A 26514-nucleotide genomic window follows, 5' to 3' on the forward strand; every position below is an offset into this window, starting at 1 on the left:
AAGCAAAGAGACTGCCAGTGATAAAAATTCAGATGAACAGGTAATTTCTGAAGTCAGCTCTTAGAAGAGAAACAGCTGAAGAAGAATAATGCAAAATAAGAATAGGCTAACATCAGCTAAGCATCTAGCAAAGATAAATCTCTCTTTGAAGACAAAAGAATGCTTAAATCATAACACTTAAATTCATAGGACCTAAGGGAATTTGTCAGCAAAAACCTACAGCTAAATAGATAACTATATATGCAAAATATATTCAGGCAATAACATTGTCTTAATTATTAGATTTAATCACTAACTCTCTTCTTTTACCTGTCCATAAGATTTTTTTTTGCTGTAAAAGAGTTTTAAGCTACCTATTTCAATAACCATTATAAAAATTCTTGCCCTCCAGCCTTATTCTCATGACAGCCATCACATGACCTCCCTAAACACACCTAAAATATAAAGCTAGTTTAGACTTCACAGTCACCAGAGGCCTTAGATTTAATTTCTCATTTCCTATTACTATCAACACTATTTTTTAGTTTTACTTCTGGGCCTTCAAGAAACAAATATAAAACTTTATTACACACTATAGTGAAAACAACTGTTTATCAAAGTGCTGCTGTTTTAAGGCAGCACTAGGTTTTATATATAATTCAGTAATTTCAAACACCTCCTTCAGCAAAAGCCTCAAAATGTACACAAAATGTAGGACAAATATGAACAAAATACTCACTTCTACAGTCTCAACTTTTTCCTCATGGGGATGTGGTGTTCTTGGGTAGATATCAAGAAGATGTGGTGGTGAATCAAAATGTAATCTTTTGAGATTTCTTTTGGTAAGACCTTTACAATGCAATTCATCAAAGTTAGTCCTCCATAATAAGACCTATGAAAAAAGTCAATGATGTTGGCAGTTATTGACTTGCATGTACAAGCAATAGAGCTGATTTTAAAACCCACAATATACAGAATTGTCTCCCAAAGTAGGAAGGGTAGATATATATTTCAACTATGTTACTATTTCTCAATATCTTTTTTTAAGGTGTGGTTGAGGGAGAGATTTAACATTTTGAATTGCCTTCATGTCTGGTTTAAAATTCATATTAAGAAAATATCTGGTTATCTTAAAATCCTCTTTTTTTTTGGTCAAAGCCCAAAACCATGTTTTGGACTGGTCATTCACTTTATTCAATAAATCTGGCCATGAATGACTTTTGGTCATTTCAGATAAATGCAGATTTGGTATATAAATGATTTATATTTACCATCCTCAAGAAGCTTAAGATAAGGCAATGATTCAAGCAAAAGTGCTATATAATTACTGAAAGTGGACATATAGTGTCAGTTACATGTATAGTTAAGTGTAAAATGAGCAAAAGAAAATAACTATTTGAGTTCCCAAAATTTAGAACTGGCTCTGTTTCAGCTATGAGATAGCAGACTTCATGGTACTAATTAAAATATAAACTCATTGACAAACATCTTAACATACACAAACTAGCTGGTTGTAAAACTCTTAGCTGAGGTCAAGGATTCCTTTACCTTAACCAAATCAAAGAGGAGCTGAAAGATTTACAAACCTGTGTGTCTGCACCTCCTGATGCAAATAGCTCTCCACCTTTTGAAAATGAAACAGTAAAGACAGGTCCCTGAGAAATAAAGGGAAATAAAGAAAAAAAGTACTTGGTAATGCTTTCTCATGGCCAAGAAGACTATGGATATCAATTTCTCATCCTAATTTATGCATACTACTCATGCAATAAGTCTAATAAAACACATCAGTTGCTAGCAACTAATGCTGGCAGAGTGAAGATAATCAAAGAATCAACCCAATCATATTAAAACACAAATAAATGATACTAAAAAAATACTAAAAATTAATTAAAAAAATAACTTTTTTCTCCTTTCAAGAAAAGCTTTTACATATGTAAGTTCATAAGAATTTCTGTTAAGATTTTCTGGCTTTGGACTCTGTATTCAACCAATCACTAGCAGAAACTGAATGATAAATATGTAGGTAATGGGAATGAGGCTATTTACATGAAGTCCATTTCCTGACCAATGGGCTTCACTGAGTTCCCCCTTCATGTAGGCAACCATAAACCACTAAAAGTTTAAAGAGCAGAACACAGATAGGAGGAGAGCTGTGAATGATTAAAATCAGTATCACAATTCTGAGAAAGATGAATTGGAGTAAGATGCTTGGTTGGAGGCCAGTTAGGAAGTTCCTGTAATTATCTAGGTGAGAGGTAATGAAAACCTGAAATTGAGCAGTTACTGCGGAGTTGGACAAGACTGTGCTTGGCACAGTCACAAGATGGATAGCCTCTAGGTCAATTTTTCAGTCCAGATAAGAGTAAGTATTTCTTATCTCAAAAATATTAATATATACCATATGTTTTTAATATGTCCTTAATCTGTACAAGAAAAGTTTTAGGGAAAAACATCTTGTATTTTCCCAAGTAGACTATCCCACAGATTTAGTTTATAATATTAATAGCTTCATAAACACCTTTACTTCCAGACTAAAATTCCATCTTCATGTAGTGTTTTCCTACTGAAAGACTGTGTTTATCTTTTTTCCCTATTATTTTGTACTTTTTTCATGGATATTTCAATCCTTGGCCACTTTTATTTGTTATGTTTATTCAGCCTAAATCCATGGATATGCATATATTTAAGCTGGTTAGTATTTATTTCTGCTTTACCCTAACACCACTGCAGAATAAATGATAACGCAAAGCAGGAAGCCAGGCAGAACCTGTGAAAAAGAAACTCTTCTCTTCTAGACCACAAGGCTCATTCTATTTCTAGATATAAACAGCTTATACTTGTTAAAAGGAAGTACCTCAAAAAAAAAAAGAGGATGCATTCTAAAAAATTCAGAGAAGTTTGAATATTGTCTGGAAGAAAAGACTAGTTTATATACTCAAAAAAATTTATCTAGGCTGGGCACAGTGGCTTACACTTGTAATCCCAGCACTTTGGGAGGCCAAGGCAGGCAGATTACCTGAGGTCAGGAGTTCAAAACAAGCCTGGCCAACATGGTGAAACCTTGTCTCTTCTAAACAAACAAACAAACAAAAAATTAGCTGGGCGTGGTGGTGCGCCTGTACAGAAGGCTGAGGTAGGAGAATCACTTGAACCCAGGAGGCAGAGGTTACAGTGAGCCGAGATTGTGCCACTGCACTCCAGCCTGGGTGACAGACTAAGAATCCATCTCAAAAATAAAGAAATAATAAATTTAAAAAATTGATCTATATGCCAGGGAGGGATCTTTGAACAGGCTCAATAAAAGGCACCCCTCTTACCTACTTGGTTCTAAACCAATTGAGAAATAAGACAAAGGAATACAGCACATAAGAATCGAAATATCACCTTTCTTTCTAATAAATGCTTGTAAAAAGAGAATGTGGCTTTTATGTGTAACACAAATAGGCTTTCTAGAACGGATGCCCAGAATGAGTCACAGGCAACACTAGACAAGGGCAGGTCTCCCCACAAGGAATATCAGAGAAAAACAGTGAAGAATGGCTACTCCCAAAGGCAGGAGAGTAGAAGGTGTTAGGCTGTGCTTACCCAATTTCTCCTAAACCCACCAACAAATTAGCAGAAGGAGTGAGGGAGAGGTGTGAGAGGCTGGGTGTCAGGGCTAAGCGGGACAGCCTCCACATGAAGGAAGGATCTGAAGTATGGAATCTACTTACCCATCACCATTTACCCAGTCAATCTATACAACATACTGATAAAGACAGCAGGAGAAGATTCATTTAATGGCCATTGAAAGATACACATTGATTTTGATAAGAATTACAACAAATAATATTTCTTTTTTTCTTCCATTTTTTTTTTTTGACAGTCTTGCTCTGTTGCCGGGCTGGAGTGCAGTGGTGCAATCTCAGCTCACTGCAGCCTCCCCCTCCTGGGTTCAAGTGATGCCCCTGCCTTAGCCTCCCAACCAAGTAGCTTGGATTACAGGCATGTGCCACCACACCTGGCTAATTTTTTGTATTTTAGTAGAAATGGGGTTTCATCATGTTGGCCAAGATGGTCTCGATCTCCTGACCTCAGGTGATCTGCCCGCCTCAGCCTCCCAAAGTGTTGGGATTACAGGCGTGAGCCACCACGCCCAGCCACAAATAATATTTCTAAGAGTTGCTTCCAGAGGATAAAAACAGCCTTGGAAGTAAAAAAATTTTATGATAGCAGCAATGTGTGCTATGTCTGGAAAAACAATAAAGGGACATAAAAATGGATCAGAAATTTAAAATATATATTATTTTATATTTTTATATATAAAAAGCAAGAATCTGAGTGTTAATACCGTATGTCCTTGAAGTGTATAGATGAGCCTTCCTTCTAAGAGGTCCAGAATCTTAAGGGTACCATCTGAAGAAGCTGTGATGAGATAGTTACCCGAAGGATGGAATGATATGCAATTAACTCCACCGCTGTGAACTGATTTGTAGAAAATAAAAGCAAAAAGTTCAGAGAACAATTCTTACTTTTGAAGATACCCCAGTGCCTTATTAGCAATAGGTTGTAAACAAGAGCACTGTTTCCACAACAACAAAACTCTATATGGCTCACTAAAACGAGTATTTTGGCATCACATAGCTCTAAGCTTCCAGTTAGAGAGCCAGAATAACTTTAAAAATGAGACTGTGTCACGGAAAGGTAATCTTATTGACCACATTACTATAAATTCTTTGGATATATTGCCAATAAAACTGACAGTTAATCATCACCAGCTCAGATAGGGTATATAACCTAGTCTCAAATTAAAGGTAATAACTAATTAGTGGCTTGGGATTAAAGGGAGAAAAGTGTGGAGACAGTTTGAAACGGGCACAGTCCTGCCATCATGCTTGAGACTTTGTCTCCAGACAGTATCCTTCCAACAGGAGGCAGTATAACACAATGATCAAAAGTTAATTTTTCTATGCACTGTGTAAGCAGGAAGACCTAAGTAGTTCTATTGATTCTTTGAGCAAGTTAATTACCCTATTTAAATCTCAATTTCCTTATCTTAAAAATGTGAGTAATAATGATACCTCCTAGGAATATTGTTTAGATTTGGCACAGTGTCTGCTACATAGTAAACACTGGAAAAGCTACTATGTTTAATAATCATTTCGATTTAATATAAATCCAATATAAACCAAGAAAATTCACTTCTCTTTTAGTTCAATATCAATACATAGGCATAGTAGGTAGTTGTTTTCTACCAGTTATAACACCTATTTGTGCTCACGTAACTCCCTGTGATTCAGAATTCAGTCATTTCTATCCTGACTTCTCACACAATGCTGATAACCAGAATTTGAAAATCTCATAGCAACTTCTTTTTTTTTCTTTAAACCAGCCCTCACATCATTTTTAAGGTCTCTTCACTTCCTGCTGTCCTTGAGCTTCTGAGACCCTGCTGTTGATGGGAGCTAATTATACTATTCTCTAGCCTGTTCCAAGGCAGCCCATGACCCCAAGTAAGACAGCCAAACCACACCAACAAGGAGAATCAGTCCTTCCAAAAGGAGTCCATTCGGTAACTGAATTTTTTGTTAGGAAAATTGTTACCTTGGTAATGCTGTAGTAATTTGTTCACTCTTACATCCCAGACTTTCACAGTTTGATCAGAACCTGCTGAAGCTATGCATGTACCACTAGGGTTAAAGTCCACAAAATTTGCAAATCTAGGAGGAAAGAATAAGATGACCTAATATTTCAATTTCTTTTTTTTTTTTTTTTGAGACGGAATCTCACTCTTGTCACCCAGGCTGGAGTGCAGTGGCGCAATGTCAGCTCACCGCAACCTCCGCCTCCTGGGTTCAAGTGATTCTTCCACCTCAGCCTCCCGAGTAGCTGGAATTACAGGCACATATCACCATGCCCAGGTAATTTTTGTATTTTTAGTGGAGACAGGGTTTCACTATGTTGGTCAGGCTGGTCTCAAACTCCTGACCTCAGGTGATCCGCCTGCCTCAGCCTCCCGAAGTGCTGGCATTACAGGCGTGAGCCACTGCACCCGGCCATATTTCAATTTCTTTACTCATTTATTTATTTAAATTGTTATAATCAAACGTCTCCTTAGAAAACTAACCCACATAAATGCACAAAGAAAGTGTACTTACCCAACGGAATCTGAGAAGTTATTAACACATTGCTTATTTGTGGTATCCCAAATTTTAATAGTTTTATCCTCACTACATGACACAATTAGTCTTCCATCGGGTGAAAATCTAGAAAGAAGAAGAAAGAAGATGTTTTATGTGAAAGGCTCTGGAGAGTCACCACCTCACCTCTACACCACAAATAAACCAGGCTGTAAATATTAAATACCAGAGACCACTGTTACCATCCCATGCAGTAAAGTCATATTCTGCAGCCAAGATCTTCATCATGACAAACAACACTGACAGACCATTAAAAGGTCAAAATATGCTATGTAGACTAACCAAGTTGCTTTTTTCCTTTTATTCTTTTATTAAAATAATTTTGGTTTTATTGCATCTGCTTTGGGGTTTTGATTCAATTCTGTACTCACTCTAAGCCAAGTGCCTTGTATTTTTAAAAGAACTCTCTTCTATTTCTGTCACTTGCCAGCATTATCCATATGATTCAAGAGAGAGCCTTTATTACTCATCCGACCAAGCTTGCAGTGAAACTTTTTGTAAGAAAAGGAATGGTGTGTTGAGAATTAAAATTAAGTGACATCACCAACAAAAGAACCTAACTGCCCATGCCTGTAACTTCCTGGACTTGGGGAGGCCAGAGAGCTCCAATGGACTGAAAATAGGACAATTCATTTATACAGAACAGAACAGAAGTTCCTTCATGGAGAAATCTATCATCCACACGCCCCATTAAAAAGCAAATGAGAAAAATCTCAGACATCTTGTCTGCTGTTTTATGCTGTCTATTCCTTTAATATCCTTCCCAAGGTTCTTTTTTTATTGTTTGGCCACAATGCCTTTTAAATATAAACAGAAAAGCAGAAGACCACAGAGAAAATAAAAACAAATTTTAGACTATTAGAAAACTATGAATAGTATTTTTATTATTAATATTTTCACAGTAACAAAAACCAAAAAAGACAGATTTGGGTCACAGACTATATTTCAATTTTATTTGTAGTTTCCCTCTATGCCCACAGTAAAGATTACTATGAGTCATCAATTAAGGGTGTGGAATATAATTGAAGATTTTTCTTTTTGTTCTCTCCCTACTCCCATTCTTAAGGCTGACCTAAAATTAATTCTTTGTGACAGAAACTTTGCATCTGGCGTTCACAGATTCACACAGAAAAAAGGCACAAAGAAGTTCCATGTGAAATAATATTTAAAAATCAAGAAGTCTGGGTGCAGTGGCTCATGCCCGTAATCCCAGCACTTTGGGAGGCTGAGGCAGGCGGATCACCTGAGGTCAGGAGTTCGAGACCAGCCTGGCCAACAGGGTGAAACCCTGCCTCCACTAAAATAGCCAGGCATAGTGGCAGGTGCCTGTAATCCCAGCTACTCAGGAGGCTGAGGCAGGAAAACCACCTGAACCCAGGAGGCAGAGGTTGCAGTAAGCTGCGATTGTGCCACTGCACTCCAGCTTGGGCGACAGAGCAAGACTCGCCTCAGAAAAGAAAAAAAAAAAAAAAAAAAAGTCAAGAAAATAACCTTTCAAGGAAAAATTTTCCATGCTGGGTAGTTTACCCTGATTTTACAGTAAGTAAAAATTTATTAATATTTTCTTTCAGAAAATGTGAGAAAGATTCAAATCTGAAGGGCAGTATTATAAAAAGGCTCCAAACAGAGGAAGCTTATTATATATAGAACCTGGGGAAAAAAACCTACTCAGTATCCCCACGGATAAACTTGGCATAATAATTATAAAAAACTGGCCAGGCGCGGTGGCTCATGCCTGTAATCCCAGCAGTTTGGGAGGCCGAGGCAGGCGGATCACCTGAGGTCAGGAGTTTGAGACCAGCCTGGACAACATGGTGAAACCCCATGTCTACTAAAAAATACAAAAATTAGTGGGGCATGGTGGCAGGTGCCTGTAATCCCAGCTACTTAGGAAGCTGAGGCAGGAGAATTGCTCGAACCCGGGAGGCAGAGGTTGCAGTGAGCCGAGATTGCACCACTGCACTCTAGCCTGGGTTACAGAGTAAGACTCTGTCTCAAAAGGAAAAAAAAAAAACCTGTAAAAAACTAATGCAAGGGATCAAATTGTCTTACTTACTAAGCTTCTTTTTAAAAAATATTACTTAATGTGACTATGTTAAGTGACCAAAATATTTCTATGAGAGGACTTAACTCTTACATTTCAAGAAAGCAATTATGGAGAAAAATATTTAATAAAATGAAATGCTTAGATAATAACAAAATATAGAAGTACTTACCCTATGACATCAACCAAATACTACCACCACCATCACATCATTATCCTACCCACATTCCTTGAGCACATGTGTCCTAGAACGGTTATTAACACATTACATGTAGCAACTCATTTAATTTTCAGCATAACCCAGTAAAACAGGTGCTACTGCTTGTCTCAATTTACAGTGAAGAAACAGAGGCACATAAAGGATAAGTAACTGCCAGTGTTATCAGGTCAGTGGGGAGAGGGGTCTGGATTTGAATCAGGCAGTTGTTTCCACAGCCAAATCTCTGAACCACTCTGCTTAAGTCTGACAAAAAGGAAAGTGTCTTCTACTGGCCCAAATTACTTAGAGCACTGGAAGTTCTGTGTGGCTTCTGTGTAAACAACAGAAGGTTCTAAAGTGGAGAGGAACCACGAGGCAGTGCTGTTAGGAGGCTATACACCATCCTTGAATAAACATCTGTGTGTGTTGCCATAAGCTGTAGGTAAAACAGACATGGTCCCTGTCCTTGTGGAGTTTGTGGGAAAAATTTTCACCCACTGATTCATTCAAAGATTCCCTGAGCACTTGTCAGTACCTGGCACTGGGCACTGCTGTGGGTAGTAGGAATATAGCTGTGAATGAGACTGGCAAGATCCCTGCCCTTATGAGGCTTTTGTTCTAGGGAGAAGGGAGGGCACACAAAAAACATAATTTTAGAAAGTGATAGGAAAAAGGGTTGTTAACAAAACAGGTGCCAATTTGTTACCAGAAGCTCCATAGAGGAAACAGGATTTTAAAGAAACTTGCAAATGAGGAAAAGTGTTATCTTGGTCAGCTAAAAGTGCCTCCTGAGCAGGAGGGCCCATAGCTGGGAGAAATTTCCCAGAGCAAAATAAATGAAGGGATGTGAACCTCGAATGAGTTAAAGTACAGGCAGTGGCTGGGAAGAACCTGGTGCCAGAAGGAGGCGAGGTTTCTACCATCAACTTAACAGAAACTAAAGGGGACTGAGGTTAAGGCCTTCCCCCTGCTCTGGTCACTGCATTATAATCCTGCATATGCTCTCTGTATGTGTTTTTTTGCATTTGAGGTGGCTGAAAGTGAGAATGATGATTTCTATTTCCTCCTCCTCCCTTTTATTTTTAATTAGATACATCAAAAATAGGTTAGCACCAATAAAACAGGCTTCTCTTTGCCTTGACTTTGATTAGGAAAGGTTAGTCCTTTATCGTCAGGGCTCAAATAACATCTAACTAGACTTTTAAGAATTTAAAGAGGATATAAAATTTCTACTAAGACATTAATAGATTTCTGACTCTCTTAATTTAGTACCACCCAACTGCCTTTAAAAACGTCTACAAAGTGTGTCACCAAGATGAATATTACATTAGTCAATAGTGACTACTGGATCAGCAAACATGGACATTCGAGAGTTTAAGAGGCATATGAGAAGTTAGCTGAACTACTACTGAATTCCTTAAACTTTACTGGTATTCACTCAAAAGAATGAGGGAATTCTTTTTTTTTTTTTTTTTTTTTTTTGAGACAGGGTCACCCAGGCTGGAAAGCAGTGGTGCAATCTCGGCTTATTTCAGCCTCGACCTCCAGGGCTCAGGTGATCATCCCACCTTAGCCTCCCAAATAACTGGGATTACAGGCTTGTGCCACCTTGCACGGCGAAGTTTTGTAATTTTTGTAGAGACAGGGTTTCGCCATGTTGCCCAGGCTGGTCTTGAACCCCTGGGCTCAAGCAATCCTCCTGCCTTCACCTCCCAAAGTGCTAGAATTACAGGCATGATCCACTGTGCCCAGCCCAGAATGAGGAAATTCTTGAACTTATTTCTAGTAAAACTGATTCACATGTCCTTGAAAATAGCCCAAATTATATAACAGGAGTCTTTTTAACTTGGAATCTACAGAGTTCCTGTAATTGTATGTAAAAATTTTATGTCTATATTCATAGTCATAGTTACTTGTTCATTACAGAACCAAAAACGTCCATGAACCATGAAAAGTCTTAAAGTGCTTTCATAAGGCCACGTGTGGTGGCTCATGCCTGTAATCCCAGCACTCTGGGAGGCTGAGGCAGGCAGATCATTGAGGCCATCAGTTTGAGACAAGCCTAGGCAATATGGTGAATCCCCATCTCTGCTAAAAATGCAAAAATTAGCTGGGCCTGGTGGTGCATGCCTGTAATCCCAGCTACTTGGGAGGCTAAGGCAAGAGAATCAGGGAGGCGGAGGCTGCAGTGAGCCAAGATCGCACCACTGCACTCCAGCCTGGGTGACAAAGTGAGACTGTCTCAATAGATAGATAGATAGATAGATAGATAGATAGATAGATAGATAGATAGATAGATAGATAGATAGACAGACAGACAGACAGACACTTTTATAAAAAATTCAAATTTTCCTTTGGCTATTTCTTATCTTCAGAATACATTTTCTATAAAAACACATTCCCAGCACTCAGGGCTCTGGGACCAAACAGGGCAGGCACTATTTCATGTCCCGTAAGACACAAATCATTAGTAAGAGGAACTCTGAAGCCAACAGCTCTTCAGTAGTAGGAGGAAGCAGTAAAAAGTAGTGGAAATAAGACTGCTCAGTAAATACCAAGTCCTGAATTCTAGGGCCAGTTCTGCAACTGTCCAGCTATGTAATCTTGTAAACTCACAACCGTAATGGCCACCATTTCCTATTTGTATAATGAAGGAGTCTGGATTGAATCAGCCCTAAAATTTTCACAGACTCTAAAAATTTGGCAGTCTCAGAGTTTGCGCTGATAGAATTTGATGTTTACAGATTGAAGGTGAAGTTCAAGTCAATAAGCAAAACATTTATTTTTTTTAAGTGTTGGTCAGCATTAGAAGAGAAACCATCTGTTGACTACAGTAGCAGGATTCATTTCTGCAACTGCTGAGAGACAAAAAGCAGATGAAAAATATGTAAAAAGATGAAGCATGCCATGAAAATTACTTGTTCGGGAATTTACCATCTATGTGCCCAGAATTCCTTCCTGGAATCTCCACCCATGAGTACAACTGCTTGCTGGGCATCCCCTTTTGGATATCCTGCAGGAACCTCCAGCTCTGAACTTGCCCAAATGAATTCACCCTCTTCCTCTTGAAGAGGAAGGTTCTCTTCTTCTCCTCTTTATTCAGTGTTTTCTTTCTTAGTAAATGGTTTCTCAAGCCAGAAACTCGGGGGTCTGGCTTGATTCTTCTTTCTCTTCTACTTCCCCACATTCCAATCCATTATTGGGTCCTGCCTCCTTAAACCACAATTGACCCTGTTGTCTTCCACTCTCCACAAGCAACAAAAGTGATCTTTAAATCTTAAATCAAACTGGGTCATCTTTCTGCTTAAAACCTTCGGTGGTTTCACGTTTCCTTTGGGGAGAAGTGTGACATGCTCATAGCTCTCTAGGACCTATCCTCCTGCGTCTTCATCTTCATCACCCTCCTCTTCTTTACCTTCTCTTAGGTCCCTTGCTCTTGCTCAGATGCTTCCCTGTGCCTCAAACACTGCCCCCTAGTCTTTACCTAGTTTAAAATCTATAAAAAGGATTTTACACCTCCTTCAAGCTCTCTGCTTCAATGTCACTTCCTCAGGAACGGCCTTCCTGAACACTGTCACCAGTAGGCTAGCACCCCAAGATGTGTTCTTGGAGTTGCCCACAACCACATTCATTCATTCATTCATTCATTCATTCATTCATTCATTCATTCATTTATTGATAGACTCTTGCTCTGTAGCCCAGGCTGGAGTGCAATGGCGGGATCTTAGCTCACTGCGACCTCCGCCTCCTGGGTTCAAGCGATTCTCATGCCTCAGCTACCCTGCTTCCCCAGGTAGCTGGGATTACAGGCATGTGCCACCATATCTGGCTAATTTATGTATTTTTAGTAGAGATGGGGTTTCGCCATGTTGGCTAGGCTGGTCTTGAACTCCTGGCCTCAAGTGATCCACCCGCCTCAGCCTCCCAAAGTGTTAGGATTACAGGCGTTAAACACCACGCCTGGCCCCACATCCACATTTATACCTCAGTGCTCCACGCTGGCTTCCCTAATAGAATATAAGCAAGAAGAGGCAACTCACATCTGTCTCACTCAATGCTCTATCCCCAGACACAGTGCCTGGCACTGAGTAGGTCCTTAGTAAATGTTTAGGAAATTAAAAAAAAAAGTTTTAAGGGAATTTAAACTAACTTAATATTATATATAGCCAATGTAAGCTGAGAAAAATCTTTGCAATTCGTTGCACAACAATGTGAATATACCTAATGCCACAGAACTGTATACATAAAAATGGTTAAAATGGTAAATTTTGTTATATATATTTTACCACAATTTCACAAAATCTTTTCAATTCAGATGGTCAAAAGATCACTTTGTAATCCTATCAACAACTGAAAATTATAGGCAGATATTTACTCCCAAAAAATCAATGCTGGAAAAGCAACAGACTCGGAAAAGTTCTCTACTACATTAACTTCTACTTATTTTTTATTAAGAACACTATAAAGAAATGTAAGTTATCCCACAATACGTGCATTGTTTTTAAAAACAAAGGGCTATACTAATTTTAACTTTTAGAAAAATTCTTTTGTAAGTAAAAAGATATTTCTCACCTACATACATGTATTTCAAATGATGTTTTCTTCATCATATGTTTAAAAGTTGAGAAATACAGAAAATTTTAAAAGTCCAGATCTTGTCACTCAAACACAATTACACTTAATATCTTGTGTATAATAGATACCTCATCTTTTGTTCATGCATAGGTCTTTTATAATATAACCACTGCATTCCATTTCCCCATGTAAACATATTTTCATGCCATAACTTGCATATAGACTCCCTTTTTACTGGTTACATCATAATCTAACTATATTTAACTAGGTTTTTTATTTGAAATAAAAATTGGAAAAATCGGTTATTTCTAATTTCTCATCATTTCAAATTATACTGAAAGCACCACCTTTGAATACAAAGCTTTTTCATGTGATGGCAAAAAAGTATTTATTTTGGACACATTTTTGGTTGTAGAATCACTGCAACAAAGATGCCTGACATATTTTGCAAATAGACTTATAAAAAGACTATACTATTTACATTTTAAAAGCATGAATGTATTTCCAAATATATGGTATACCTTATTTATTTAAATTAACCTTTGTTAAATTAGATTATAACAAAGGTTAGTCTAGAGAAACTACCTATTCACCTCCTCTTACACTAATGGGCACCATCTCTGTGCGACACTGAATAAGCTTGGGCTCCAAGAACAAACTCATAGAAAGTACTGGGCACCGAGATAGACACAGAATTTTAATTACTTAAGTCCATGGCATACATTTAAAATTCAAATACTAAAGGCAGAAACAATTGCTCTACTGATCCTCTACATTCATTTAAGTACACTATCCATGCACTGGGAGGAAAAGCAGTACCATTTGGATTATTTTAAATATCTAGTTGTTTAATTCATCTAAATTTTTTTGGTAAAATATTCAACTTTATATTTTTCCAAATATAAATCTAGTTATCTTAACTACATATTAAATAGACCATATATTTCCCCACTGATTGGAAATGCCACATTTATTGTAAGTTCTCATATACACATGTATCTGCTTCTGGGCTTTATATGACCTCTTTTCTTAATCCTGTACCATTATCACCATATTTTAATTACTATGGTTTTATATTATGTTTTGAAAACTGGTTGGACAAGTTTCTTCTTTCGTTTTTTTTTTTTGAGACAAGGTCTCACTCCATTAGTCAGGCTGAAGTGCAGTGGCACCGTCTCAACTTACCGCAGCATAGGCCTCCCAGGCTCAGGTGATCCTCCCACCTTAACCTCCAAAGTAGCTGGGACTACAGGTGCATGCCACCATGCCCAGATAATTTTTGTATTTTTTGTAGAGATGGGGTTTTGCCAGGCTGCCCAGGCTGGTCTCAAACTCCTGGACTCAAGCAATCCACTCACTTCTTGCAAGAGACTGATAAGTTATAAAGCTAATTTATAATTCTTTTTTTTTTTTTTATAGAGTCTCACTCTGCTGCCAGTCTGGAGTACGGTGGCATGATCTCGGCTCACTGCAACCTCTGCCTCCAAGGTTCACACGATTCTTGTGTCTCAGCCTCCCGAGTAGCTGGGAATACATGTGTGCGCCACCATGCCTGGCTAATTTTTGTATTTTTTTTTTTTTTTTTTTTTTTTGAGACGGAGTCTCACTGTCGCCCAGGCTGGAGTGCAGTGGCAAGATCTCGGCTCACTGCAGGCTCCGCCCCCTGGGGTTCACGCCATTCTCTTGCCTCAGCCTCCTGAGTAGCTGGGACTACAGGCGCCCGCCACCTCACCCGGCTAATTTTTTGTATTTTTAGTAGAGATGGAGTTTCACCATGTTAGCCAGGATGGTCTCGATCTCCTGACCTTGTGATCTGCCCGCCTTGGCCTCCCAAAATGCTGGGATTACAGGCATGAGCCACCACGCCCAGCCTAATTTTTGTATTTTTAATAGAGATGGGGTTTTGCCATGTTGGCCAGGCTGGTCTCAAACTCCTGGCCTCAAGTGATCCACCTGCCTCAGCCTCCCAAATTGCTGGGATTACAGGTGTGAGCCACCTGGCCCTAATTGTCAGGGCCTAATTGTTAGGGCCTAATTGTTAGGGCCATGTTGGCCAGGCTGGTCTCAAACTCCTGGCCTCGAGTGATCCACCCGCCTCGGCCTCCCAAAGTGCTGGGATTACAGGTGTGAGCCACCTGGCTCTAATTGTTTTCTTGTCAATTTTCCTTGGCTATTCTTGCACATTTATCACATCCATGTGAATTTTAAAATTAACTTGTCAGGTTCCACTAACTCCTTGGACAGAATTTCCAGTTCTGGCCATGGGGTAGTAAAGGTTATCAGACTTACTTCCCTACCATAAACAACCATACAACTGCCAAATATATGAAGCAACTGTTTTTAGGAACTAGGCAAGAGACAGCATAGGGTTACAAATCTTGACAGATGGGAAACACATGAGATAAGCACAAAATCTGTCCCAGATTTCTACATAGGAGCACTTTCTAAATCTTAGTACATGGAAGTAGAGCCCAAGGAGATAACAGCAGTCTCACTGGGCACAGGAAACAGAAATCAGAACTCAGGGCTGCTAATGGGCTGAAATTTTGAAGACAGGGTACAAGAGAAGATTTACGAAAAGCAGAATCCCCAAAAATTCTGCATTGGAAAAAAAATTTACAAGGAACCCCCTTGTATATAATACAATTCCCTTTGTATTGTCAAATACAAAGCTGCCCGTGCAAAGGCAACAAGGCTTGGCAGAGAACAACTACTGGGAGGCTGTGAACAGAGCAAAGATTACAGAGGTTACACAGAACTGAGAGATGCTCAAGCTCTGACCAGCCTTTTCTGAATACTCCAGGTATTCATTTGAAATTCTAGAAGGGCCAGTGGCACTACAGCCCATGAGTAAAGACTACACTAGATCCACCCTACACAGGCTAAATCCAAGCCTCAACAGAATCTCTTTATCTCTTTGGGCAAGCAGAAAGTTAATTTCATACCAGAACAAAACTTAACACTCTTTAGACAACGACAGCATAATCTAAACTCAAAAATTTAGCCATGTTTGGACATACAATTAAAAAATCACAGGACATATGAAGCAGCAGAAAAATTTGACCCAGATATGGCATAGATGTTGGAATTAGAGCTGTAAAACAATTATTATAAATATGTTCAAGGATTTAAAGGAAAAGACGGGCATCATGGGCAAACCAATGGAGAATCTCACCAGAGAAATGGATACAGTTAATTGGATCCTACAGCAGAACAGACCAGTGAACTTGAGGATAAGGCAATAGAAATTATACAAACTAAGCACAGGGAGAAAAAATGGAAAAATATGAACAAAGCCTCAAAAAACTGTGGGACAATATCAAGTGGTCAAACATACATGAATCTGGAGCTTCAGAAAGAGATGAGAAAGAAATTAGGGAAGAAAAATATATGAAGAAAGAACAACAATTTTTACAAATATGATGAAAAAATATCAATCCATAGATCCAAACAGTTCAGTGAACCATAAGAAAAATAGATAAAACCATACCTAGGCCCATTATGGTCAAATTGCTGAAAATAAAAGATCTGAGAGCAGCAGAGAAAAAAGATACATTATATATAGGGGAATTACATTAAAATGATTGCTGGCTTAACATTAAAAAATGCAAACTAAAAGACAATAGAATGACATCTTAGTCCATTCAGGCTGCTATAACAAAATACTGCACACTGGGTAGCATATAAACAACAGAAATTTATTTCTCACAGTTCTAAAGGCTAAGTTCAACATCAGAGCACCAGCAGATTTGGTGTCTAAGGAGGGCCTGTGATACAATTTGGCTGTGTACCCACCCAAATCTCATCTTGAATTATAGTTCCCATAATCCTCACTTGTCATGGGAGGGACCTGGTGGGAGGTAATTGAATCATGGGGGTGGTTACCCTAACGCTATTCTTTTTTTTTTTTTTTTGAGATGGAGTTTCGCTCTTGTTGCCCAGGCTGGAGTGCAACGGCTCACCTCAACCTCCACCTCCCAGGTTCAAGCAATTCTCCTGCCTCAGCCTCCCATAGCTGGGATTACAGGCATGCTCCACCACGCCCAGCTAATTTTTTTTTGTAATTTTAGTAGAGACGGGATTTCTCCATGTTGGTCAGGCTGGTCTCAGGTGATCCACCCACCTTGGCCTCCCAAAGTGCTGGGATTACAGGTGTGAGCTACCATGTCCGACATGCTATTCTTTTTATAATGAGTGAGTTCTCACGATATTCGATAGTTTTATAAGGGGCTTTTCCCCCTTTTGCTCAGCACTTCTCCTTGCTGCCACCATGTATTTGCTTCCCCTTCCACCACAATTTGTAAGTTTCCTGAGGCCTCCCAGCTCTGCGGAACTGTGAGTCAATTAAACCTCTCCTTTATAAATTACCCAGTCTCAGGTATGTCTTTATTAGTAGTGTGAGAACAAACTAATACAGCCTGTTTCCTGGCTCATAAATGACACCTTCTTGCTGTGTCCTCACATGGTGAGAGGCAAGGGTCTCTCTGGGGCTTCTTTTATAAGGGCATAAATCCCATTCATGAAGGGTGTGCTTCATGAGCTAATCACCTCCCCAAGGCCCCATCTTTTAATACCCTCACCTTTGGGGTATGGATTTCAACACATGAATTTTTTGGGAGACACAAACTCAGACCATAGTAAATGACATCATTAAAGCACTAAAAGAAAAAATTATCTGCCAAACTAGAATTCTACATCTCAGCAAAAATATCCTTTACAAAGGATAAACAAGAAGTTGAGAGAAGTCATCCATCACCAGGAGACCTTCACTACAAGAAATGGTAAGTGCAGTGTTTTAGGCAGAAAAGAAATGATATCAGATGGAAACTTGGATCTACACAAATGAATAAAGAATGCTGGAAGTAGCAAATATGGGGGTAAATATAAAAGACTTTTTTGTTTCTTATTTTCTTTAAAGAAAATTGGCTGCTTAACATATTGTGAGCTTACGCCATATGCAGGTGTAAATGGTCAAGAAGTAAATGGAGATATAGTTCTATAAGTTCTAACATTATACATAAAACAGCATAAAATTAATTCAGGAGTAGACTGTGACAAGTTAAGGATACATATTGTAATCTCTAGAGGTTACCACAAAACAAAAAAGACAAAGAGTAAAGCTAAGAATAAAATAGATGAGTAGAATACTAAGAAATAGTTGATTAATCCAAAAGGAGAGAGGATAAAGAAATAAACATGTGGGACAAATGGGATAAAGAGAAAACAGTAAGATGGTAGACTTAAATCCAATCACAGGACTGATTACATAAATTTAAACAGACTAAGAACTCCACTTAAAAAGCAGAGATTTTCAGACCCAACTACTTTGAAATAAAAGGACGTTCTTTTTAAGTTTACTACACAACATACATTTAATAGATGATAGTAGCTATCTATATTAGCAACCCCCAAAACTATGTGCAAATATGTGAAATGACTTTTGAATATCAGCTGACAGTGGCTCCAGTATAATCCCTAGGGGGAGGACTGGCATGTGAGGATAGTTAATAGCTGACATTAATTGGCACTTTACATTCATTAACTCATTTAATCTTCACAGTGACCTTATAAGGAAGGCACTTCCATTGTACTCATTTTATATGAGAGCAGACTAATGCCCAGAGAATGTGATGTGCCCAAGTAACATGCTAGTGAGCCCAGGCTCTTAACTACTCTGTGCTGCCTCTCTGCTGAAACTAATCACTGTACTGCATCACCTGAAAGATACTACGTCAACAGAGAGGAGGTGTGCAACAACTGCAACAAGCAAAGAGCAAGAGCTGGTCAGCAGCCTCCATCCTGGCTCAGGGGAAGGGTGACTGACCAGCAGTACTGATCACTGGCAGGTGCGTGGATGGGGAGATGGGCCCACCTCACTATCCTAACCTGAGAAAACTATCTAACAAGATTTTTTCTACAAACAACTCTTGCTTTAGTCCCAGGGCTCACTGAAAAGCCTTCTGATTATATCCTGACTTGGCAAAAGAAGAAGGCCCTGACTAAGGCATGCAAATGTTCCAGGCTCTCTGGCAGTTAGCATTGTCATTAAAAATAAGTAAACTGGCATCTGACTTATGTTTCAGACTCTCCTAAAGTTATTAAACATGACTCAAGCTCCCCAGAGCTTTCTCACCTTCAGGTATAGAGTGAAAATAGGACTTCTAGTCCTGCACATCTTTGAGAGTCCTGGATTAGAATGATTTCATCAAGGTTAAGTTCTCATGGGAAGATGCACAAAACACTCTGGGAGGCTGGGCCTTGGTGGTCAATCAGGCCCTCCAGACATTGGTCTAAACTCTCTTGTTCTAACTGCAATAAGGTAAGCCAAGAAGATATATTATAATACATGCATGAGAAAGAATCTGTAAGCATGTTGTAGTGTACATAAATAAAAAGTTGCCAAGAAGATGAAATCCTTATTCATTAAATTTAACCAACTTATTCATCAAAGAACATTCCTTGAGGACGGCCTCTGCAGAGTTTCACATTAATCATTCACTCCAAACAGTAAGAAAACTGATTTTTTAAAAAAAATCCCTCAGAACCTTAAGGTACCGGTAAGATAAAGACAGTCCATGAAGGCCAGGTGTGCCAAGTCAGCAACTGGCCAATTGAACAAGAGTCAACCAAAATGGACAAAGAAAGCAGTGAAGCCACATAAACATCTCCATGTAAAACATGCATGCACCAGTACTCCTGGATTTGCTAGAAAAGATTCACAAAAATAACTCTTCTCTGAAGAAATCCATGAAAATTACCTTTGCTTTAGAGATAAACCTAAGCCTACTCACCAACCTTTCACTGATTGATTCAACCATATTTTTGCACAACCCCTGACCCTTTCCCACCCTGTAGCTGATACTCTACAGTGCTTCTCAGATCATATCTGACCTATCTTGAACACTCTCCTGACACCGACCTTACTAACTTCCACAATATAGTCAAGTCTTGGCTCAAACGTCACCTTGGTAAATATGCCTTCCCTGACCTCGATATGTAAAAGACCACCTCCCAAACCCACCACTCTTCATCTTGTTACCCCCTACATCATTTTTCTCCAGAGTACTTATCACTAATATATTTGCTGTCTGTCTCTCTTCAGTAAAGGAAGCTCCACGAGAGTAGGAATTTTGTGTTTTATTTTCTGCTGTATTCATACAATTTACAACAGTGCCTGGCAAGAGAATACAACATAAATACTTGTAATTCGAAGTCTAATAGGGAAGAGAGGCCTAAGCTGATAAACAGACCTCATAAGAAGGGCAATGTGGTGGCATAAAGGAGTCACAATAAGCTTGGCCCAGGAGAAGCAGAAACCTTTCTTGGAGGAAGAGATGCAGAGCAGGTTGTGAAGGAAGGGTGGAAGCAGGGGGCGTCCCAGCATGGAAATCACCATATGGAAAGGCACAAGGCAAAAAGGGTCATTCACACTTGAGGAGACTTGTCTGGCTGCAAGAAGGTGAATGGTGAAAGTGACAGAAGAAAGACAGAAAGTGACAAAAGAAAGATAGGAGGGCAGTGCACACACACGCCAGGACAAGGAGTCACTGAGGGGTTTTAAGGCAAGAAACAGCATGACTAGATTTGTTTTTCACAAAAGCAGAGATGCAGGGGTGGAGGGTGGGAGGAGGTAATCTGTGGTCTGAGAGACCATTTAGGAGATTCCTGCAACAGTCTGCACAAAGGCCAATGGTGCTAAAACTACAGCAGCTGCGTTGAGGATGGAGCTAAAATGAATGTCTTGACCGGGTAAGAAGATTTCACTTTTCAAAACTCTGCTCCAGTATCACTTCCTATGGAAAGCATCTTTTTTAGGATAAAACAAAAAAGGAAAAGGCAATTTTTAAAAACTCTCTCTTTCTCTCTCTCTCTCTCTCACACACACACAGACACACACACACACACAGACACACATACACACACTCTCTATAATACTTTCAGGTATGGCTGTATCCAGAAACCAAATCATATGATTAGACAGAAATTCATTCTGTCTTCATCTCACAGCTCTGCTCTCTTCTGAATTAATATTATTTTTAGGTCAGTTCTTTGCCCAGGGTGTCCCTCAGCAGTCACAGGCTTAAATAAGCCTAAACACTGCCAACCAAGAGGAAAGGCCCATGGTTCCAACAAGACTCACTCCTCCAGGAGGGGATGCTATGTTTCCGTGGGCGAGCCTGAGCTGACTGTCCGCTCTGGAACTGGAGATAGGGCCACTCCTGCACTCCTGCACATGACACGGAGAGGACAAGGGGGCAAGCTGGTTCCTCAGGGCAAGCTTGAGCACTGCTACCAGAAAACAGGGAATAGGCAGACAGAAGTGCAGAGTTCCACCATCGTTTTCTTCTCTCAAATTGATAAAGGGGAAGAACATTTTCAGTGACTCCTCCCCGGTTCCAGAGTTTCTCCCTAAATAGCACCCAGCTGGAAGAGAGGTAGTCTTATGGCATCACTCAGTCCCAAACACCGTCAACTGGTACTTCTTATCCTCAGTCCAGTGAGAGAAGCCTCAATACCCTCAAGTTCCACAGAGGCTGAGAGCAGGGAGCTAACTTGCTCCAGGGTGATGCTATGGTGCAGGCAGGCATATGAATATTGGATAGTTTTGTCCCATATGCTCCCTGTGTTCTGACCACAGCTGAATAATTAATGTTCCTGGAGCACACTATGTACCTGCAGGCCACAGTGCTTTGCTCCTCCTGGCTCCCTCATGAAGACAGCTTGCCTTCCCTCTTCGCACCTGACAAATATGCCACTGCCTCCTCTTCCCCTTCTCTCCCCTCAGCTCTGGGACTGAAACGGCTTTCTTGACTTTTCCTCACACAAATCTTGTTCAATTCTCACTTATTTATTACTCCCTTATCATCTTTTGTGCCACTTTTTCCCTTAGGACACACCATTTTATAACTATTTAGTATCATGTTTCCCCACTGAAGTAACTGTCGGCTCCCTGAGGCCAAGACTGTGTCTTTCATCTCTACATACTTAATATAGCTATATGGTACAGGGCAGTGACTATACTTATTAAAGTAATATTTTGAAGACCAAATTTCACATTATTGGGACTTTTCATAAATTGTCTTACATTACGATTACCCTTTGATAAAAGACTTATATATAGATGATTCAATACAACGACAACGAATAAAGTATCTCCTATAATTTACTTCCATAAAAAATTTTCCCTTACATGAACAACTTGATAATATTCCTTCTTGTTATTAGAAAATGAAAACTATATCAGCCACCATCACTCCACTAATACCTCAGCTACAGGAATCAGGCTAAACATCATGCCAAATTTGTATCCTCAGGGTTACATGGTCTGCCGATTCCCTCTGATGACTGATGTATATACAGATATGAGAGTTATTAGAAAGCACCTTCATTTTAGAAGGAAACAGGAGCACATAGCACTGGACAAAAACAGCTATTATTATTATACAGCTATTATTATTATTGTTATTATTATTATTCTGAGATAGAGTCTAGCTCTGTTGCCCAGGCTGGAGTGAAGTGGCACAATCTCAGCTCACTGCAATCTCTGCTCCCAAGTTCAAGTGATTCTCCTGCCTCAGCCTCCCGAGTAGCTGGGATTACAGGCACCTGCCACCACGCCCAGCTAATTTTTGTATTTTTAGTAGAGACGGGGTTTCATCATGTTGGCCAGGCTGGTTTTGAACTCCTGACCTCAAGTGATCTGCCAGCTTCGGCCTCCCAAAGTGCTGGGATTACGGGCATGAGTCACTGCGCAGGGCCAATAGCAGCTATTATTATTATTCAGGGTGAAACTTAGGCATTCTATTTTGCTTAGTTAAATCAACCGTCACGTTTTTGCTTATTGTGCAGCTCCCTGTGAAGAATATGCTTCCTTTGCCAACCATACCCAGAGCTGGCTCACAGTGGGGGCTAAATAACTCTCTTCATACCTGACCCACCCCAGAACAGAGCCTGAACCTCTGCTCTCTGCCTCCTCTTCTTATTTACAGCATCACTTTATACATCAATACAAATGATCAGCCTCTTGGGACCATCGTGCGTTATCTCCTTAGTTGGGAAAAAATTGTCAACCCAAGTTACAAAGTATCTTTATAAATTTAGTAAGAATGAGTGTCCAGTGATGGTGATGAGAATGACAGCTAAGAATTATATACTGACTACTATGTGAGGTGCACCGTTCTAAGTGCTATCCAGATATTTACTCATTTGAATACTGTAACAACCTATGTGGCAGGTTACTACTATCATCTTCTTATTTTCATAGGTGAGAAAACTGAAGTATTGAGAAGTTAGGTAACTTCCCCACAGGTCTCACAGCTGATAAGTAGTGGGGTTGGAATTTTAACCTACAAATTTAGGTCCAGGGTCCATGTTTTTAGCCACACAGCTATATGGCATATACAGAAATAATTCTGAGATGGCTAGAGCCAAAAACTGGCTGAAACCTTTACAAGAAAAACCTAGTGACTAAAAGTCTGACCTTCTGCCTATCTTCTTATATTCTTCTTAGGCTCATGGCCATAGGTGATAATCAACATCTCCTGAGCAATAATGTCCCACAGAGACCATAACGACAGTGAGGAGTGTGGGCTGTAAGGCAAGACAGACAGAGCAAAGCTGAAACTCCCACTCCACCAAATCCTGGCTGGGGACACCTGGCATGTTATTTCATACAGCAGGCACAAAGCAGGATGGCTACAGGGGCCACAGTTTTCCCCTGCTGACCACCTCTGTGCCATACCCCATACCTGCTTCTTGTAAGAAGTGTCCCCTATCCCCATGCCTAGAACATATGTTTGTATGACCCCTCCTTCTTAGTCAGGGTAACTGGTTTCAGCCAGGCCCCTGACCTAAACTGCAGCAGCCACAGCATCTCACTGCTAGGCAAGGGATGGGCACAGGCTCCAGGATAGGCCAGAGTCACCACCTGGTACTCTTCTAACTGGAGCTGGGAGTAAAGAAGCTTTCCTTTTCAGTCAGTCACAAGGCTGTGAGGACTGAAGCCTGGAGCCGGCAGGGACCTGGGTACCAGCACATTTGAGAGAATGGAGCCAGCATATAGAGAGGCCCCCAGACACTACAAAGAGAGAGGCGTAACAGTACTAGACTCCCTGGTTCTAGTCTGTCCCTTCCCCACTCCAAACATACCAGCTACTTAACCACCTGGTGGGGAGAAAAAAAATGACTTAGGCTTCTGTCACTTCCAACTAGGTGAGTCTAACTTCACCTCTCTGAAACTCACTTTCCTTATCTGCAAAATAGGGAAAATAAAACAATCCTTCCCGCCCAGGCAGTTTTTGTTGTTGTTGTTGTTTGTTTGTTTGTTTTTTTGAGATGGAGTCTCACTCTGTTGCCCAGGCTGGATGGAGTGCAGTGGTATGATCTCAGCTCACTGCACCCTCTGCCTCCTGGATTCAAGTGATTCTCCTGCCTCAGTCTCCCAAGTAACTGGGACTACAGGCACCTGCCACCACGCCTAGCTAATTTTTGTATTTTTAGTAGAGACAGGGTTTTGCCACATTGGCCAGGCTGGTCTCAAACTCCTGACCTCAAGTGATCCACCCACCTTGGCCTCACAAAGTGCTGGGATTACAAGCATGAGCCACCGTGCCCAGCCCCCAGACAGTTCTGATAGGGAAATGCAATCTGCACTTTCAGTACTTTAGCAGAGTGTCCTATGAATAGGAAGACTCCACAGCTGTTGGCCAACAGGTAACAACACCTACAATAGCATTCACCTGCCAAGAGACTGCTACCAAAGATTCTGGAGTTCTTCCTGACTTTGCTGCGTCAAATCTGATGTGACAGCTCGTACTGCCAGTTGTAACTTCCAACTTTATCTAAAATCCAACCACATCTCAATTTTCACAGCCACCACCTTGATCCAAGCCAGGACCTGGACTGCTCAGCCTCCTAACAAGGTCTCCCTGCTTCTGGCCTGGCTTTGACAGTCTATTCTCCACACAGCAGTCTGAGCAATTCCAGCAAAATGTAGGTCAAAGAGAGGAGGGCACTACACTGGCATCTCCTCTCACCCAGGGCACAAGTCAGCGCTGCTCTTGACCTGGCCAGCCTCCCTGGGGCCCCTCCTACATCCCCACCCACCCTCACCTGTGCTTTTCCTCATACAGCCACCAGGCTCTGCCTCAGGGCTTCTGCCCTTGCTTCTCCTATCCAGAACATTCCTTTCCTGAATTTCTTCAAGCCTCACTCCCTCCTTTACATCTCTGTCCAAAGGTCACCCTTTGGACATCTTTCTTACAGAAAGGTCACACTTTCTGTAAGACATTCCCTGAATGTCATTTGAAATTACAGGCCCCTTGTAATAAAAGTGCTGGGAAAATCCAGCACTTTGGGAGGCCAAGGCAGGTGGATCACTTGAGCTGAGGAGTTTGAGACCAGCTTGGGCAACATGGTGAAACCCTGTCTCTACTAAAAATACAAAAAATTATCCAGGCATGGTGGTGCATGCCTGTAGTCCCAGCTACTCAGAGTCTGAGGTAGGAGAATCACCTGAACCCAGGAAGTCAAGGTTGCAATGAGCAGTAATGGCAGCACTGCACTCCAGCCTGGGTAACAAGAGTGAGACCGTGTCTCAAAAAAAAAAAAAAGAAAAAAAAAAAAGAAAAAAAAATTACGCGCCCCCTTCTAACCCAGCTCTTTCTCCATAGTGCTTACTGCCATCTGACCTGCTCCATTTTCCTACTTGTTTGTCTGTCTCTCTGGAATGTAAGAACAAGGATTTTCACTATTTTGTTTACTACCGTTCCCGCACAAAGCAGTCACACAACAAATATCTGTTGAATGAATGAATGAATATGTCCTCAAACCCTTTTTCTGGAAGTTGGGGGCAAACATGAAGCAGAAAAAATATGTGGACATCTTAATATGAAATTTTTTGCACTTACTTGGCACAGCGTACCCAGTGTGTATGTCGATACAAGGAATACAGGAAGCGCTGGCGATACATGCTCCATACTTTTATGGATTTGTCTTCAGAAGCTGTAGCTAGAAACTGGCCATCAGCTGAAAAGTCTACACTTCGAACTGGAGCTGTATGAGCTTTAAATTCTGAGAATTTTCCTCTCCTGGAAATAAACAGTTTAATATTTATAACTCATTTGATTTAATTATAGTTAATACTTAATCACAATACAGACTTTGAAACATATAAAATAGTTTAAATAAAATGGTTTAACTCTTGTAAAACCTAACAAAAGTATGAAAGGGCTATGTTGTACTGTACTCTTCGTCAACACTGAAATTTCCATGAAATTTCAGGTGTTGAGAACTAAAGGGTAGAAAAGAAGAGAATAGAAAAACAAAAGATGGGGAAAATAATGTGAGGCATTTGAGAAGTAGAAAACCTTAAAATGGGAGAAGGCTAGATAGTGTTGGAGTTACAAGGTGATATGTGATAAACGCTACTTTGTGTCAGTGTTCCCAAGTTGCCAAGGCATTTTCACCTTACATTGTATCTAGGACTCAGCAATTTTCCCATTTAGAAAATCATATTGATACTCAAGATAACCTATGGG

At 40.2% G+C, this 26514-nt stretch overlaps 2 protein-coding genes across 13 annotated transcripts in view, besides 2 other annotated features; both read right to left on the reverse strand.

The window, feature by feature from the left end:
* The window catches only part of POC1B-DUSP6 (POC1B-DUSP6 readthrough), a 177983-nt gene that overhangs the window by 117987 nt on the left and 33482 nt on the right, over positions 1 to 26514 (reverse strand). For all 6 annotated transcript variants that reach the window (NR_189588.1, NR_189589.1, NR_189587.1 and 3 more), the window contains 6 exons: positions 25885 to 26064; positions 6117 to 6224; positions 5563 to 5678; positions 4310 to 4443; positions 1566 to 1634; positions 719 to 871 (listed from right to left, as the gene is read on the reverse strand). Coding sequence is in view for 3 of the 6 variants with exons in the window: in NM_001425795.1 (NP_001412724.1) it covers positions 719 to 871; positions 1566 to 1634; positions 4310 to 4443; positions 5563 to 5678; positions 6117 to 6224; positions 25885 to 26064 (760 nt within the window). In the remaining 3 variants the exon portion in view is untranslated. The remainder of the gene's footprint in view (positions 1 to 718; positions 872 to 1565; positions 1635 to 4309; positions 4444 to 5562; positions 5679 to 6116; positions 6225 to 25884; positions 26065 to 26514) is intronic.
* Positions 1 to 26514, reverse strand: part of POC1B (POC1 centriolar protein B) — a 124581-nt gene that overhangs the window by 64585 nt on the left and 33482 nt on the right. For all 7 annotated transcript variants that reach the window (NR_037659.2, NR_037660.2, NM_001425773.1 and 4 more), the window contains 6 exons: positions 25885 to 26064; positions 6117 to 6224; positions 5563 to 5678; positions 4310 to 4443; positions 1566 to 1634; positions 719 to 871 (listed from right to left, as the gene is read on the reverse strand). Coding sequence is in view for 5 of the 7 variants with exons in the window: in NM_001425772.1 (NP_001412701.1) it covers positions 719 to 871; positions 1566 to 1634; positions 4310 to 4443; positions 5563 to 5678; positions 6117 to 6224; positions 25885 to 26064 (760 nt within the window). In the remaining 2 variants the exon portion in view is untranslated. The remainder of the gene's footprint in view (positions 1 to 718; positions 872 to 1565; positions 1635 to 4309; positions 4444 to 5562; positions 5679 to 6116; positions 6225 to 25884; positions 26065 to 26514) is intronic.
* Positions 4853 to 4972: a silencer, noted in NCBI's record as "silent region_4692". NCBI's record gives its function as "represses an Ori minimal core promoter by ATAC-STARR-seq in GM12878 lymphoblastoid cells {active_cell/tissue: GM12878}" and the evidence as "EXISTENCE:reporter gene assay evidence [ECO:0000049][PMID:35858748]".
* Positions 14970 to 15160: a silencer, noted in NCBI's record as "fragment chr12:89874798-89874988 (GRCh37/hg19 assembly coordinates)". NCBI's record gives its function as "represses an EF-1alpha promoter that drives an FKBP-Casp9 reporter gene in an ReSE screen in HepG2 liver carcinoma cells {active_cell/tissue: HepG2}" and the evidence as "EXISTENCE:reporter gene assay evidence [ECO:0000049][PMID:32094911]".

This window comes from Homo sapiens, chromosome 12, assembly GCF_000001405.40.
Source record: "Homo sapiens chromosome 12, GRCh38.p14 Primary Assembly".
Classification (NCBI taxonomy): Eukaryota; Metazoa; Chordata; class Mammalia; order Primates; family Hominidae; genus Homo; species Homo sapiens.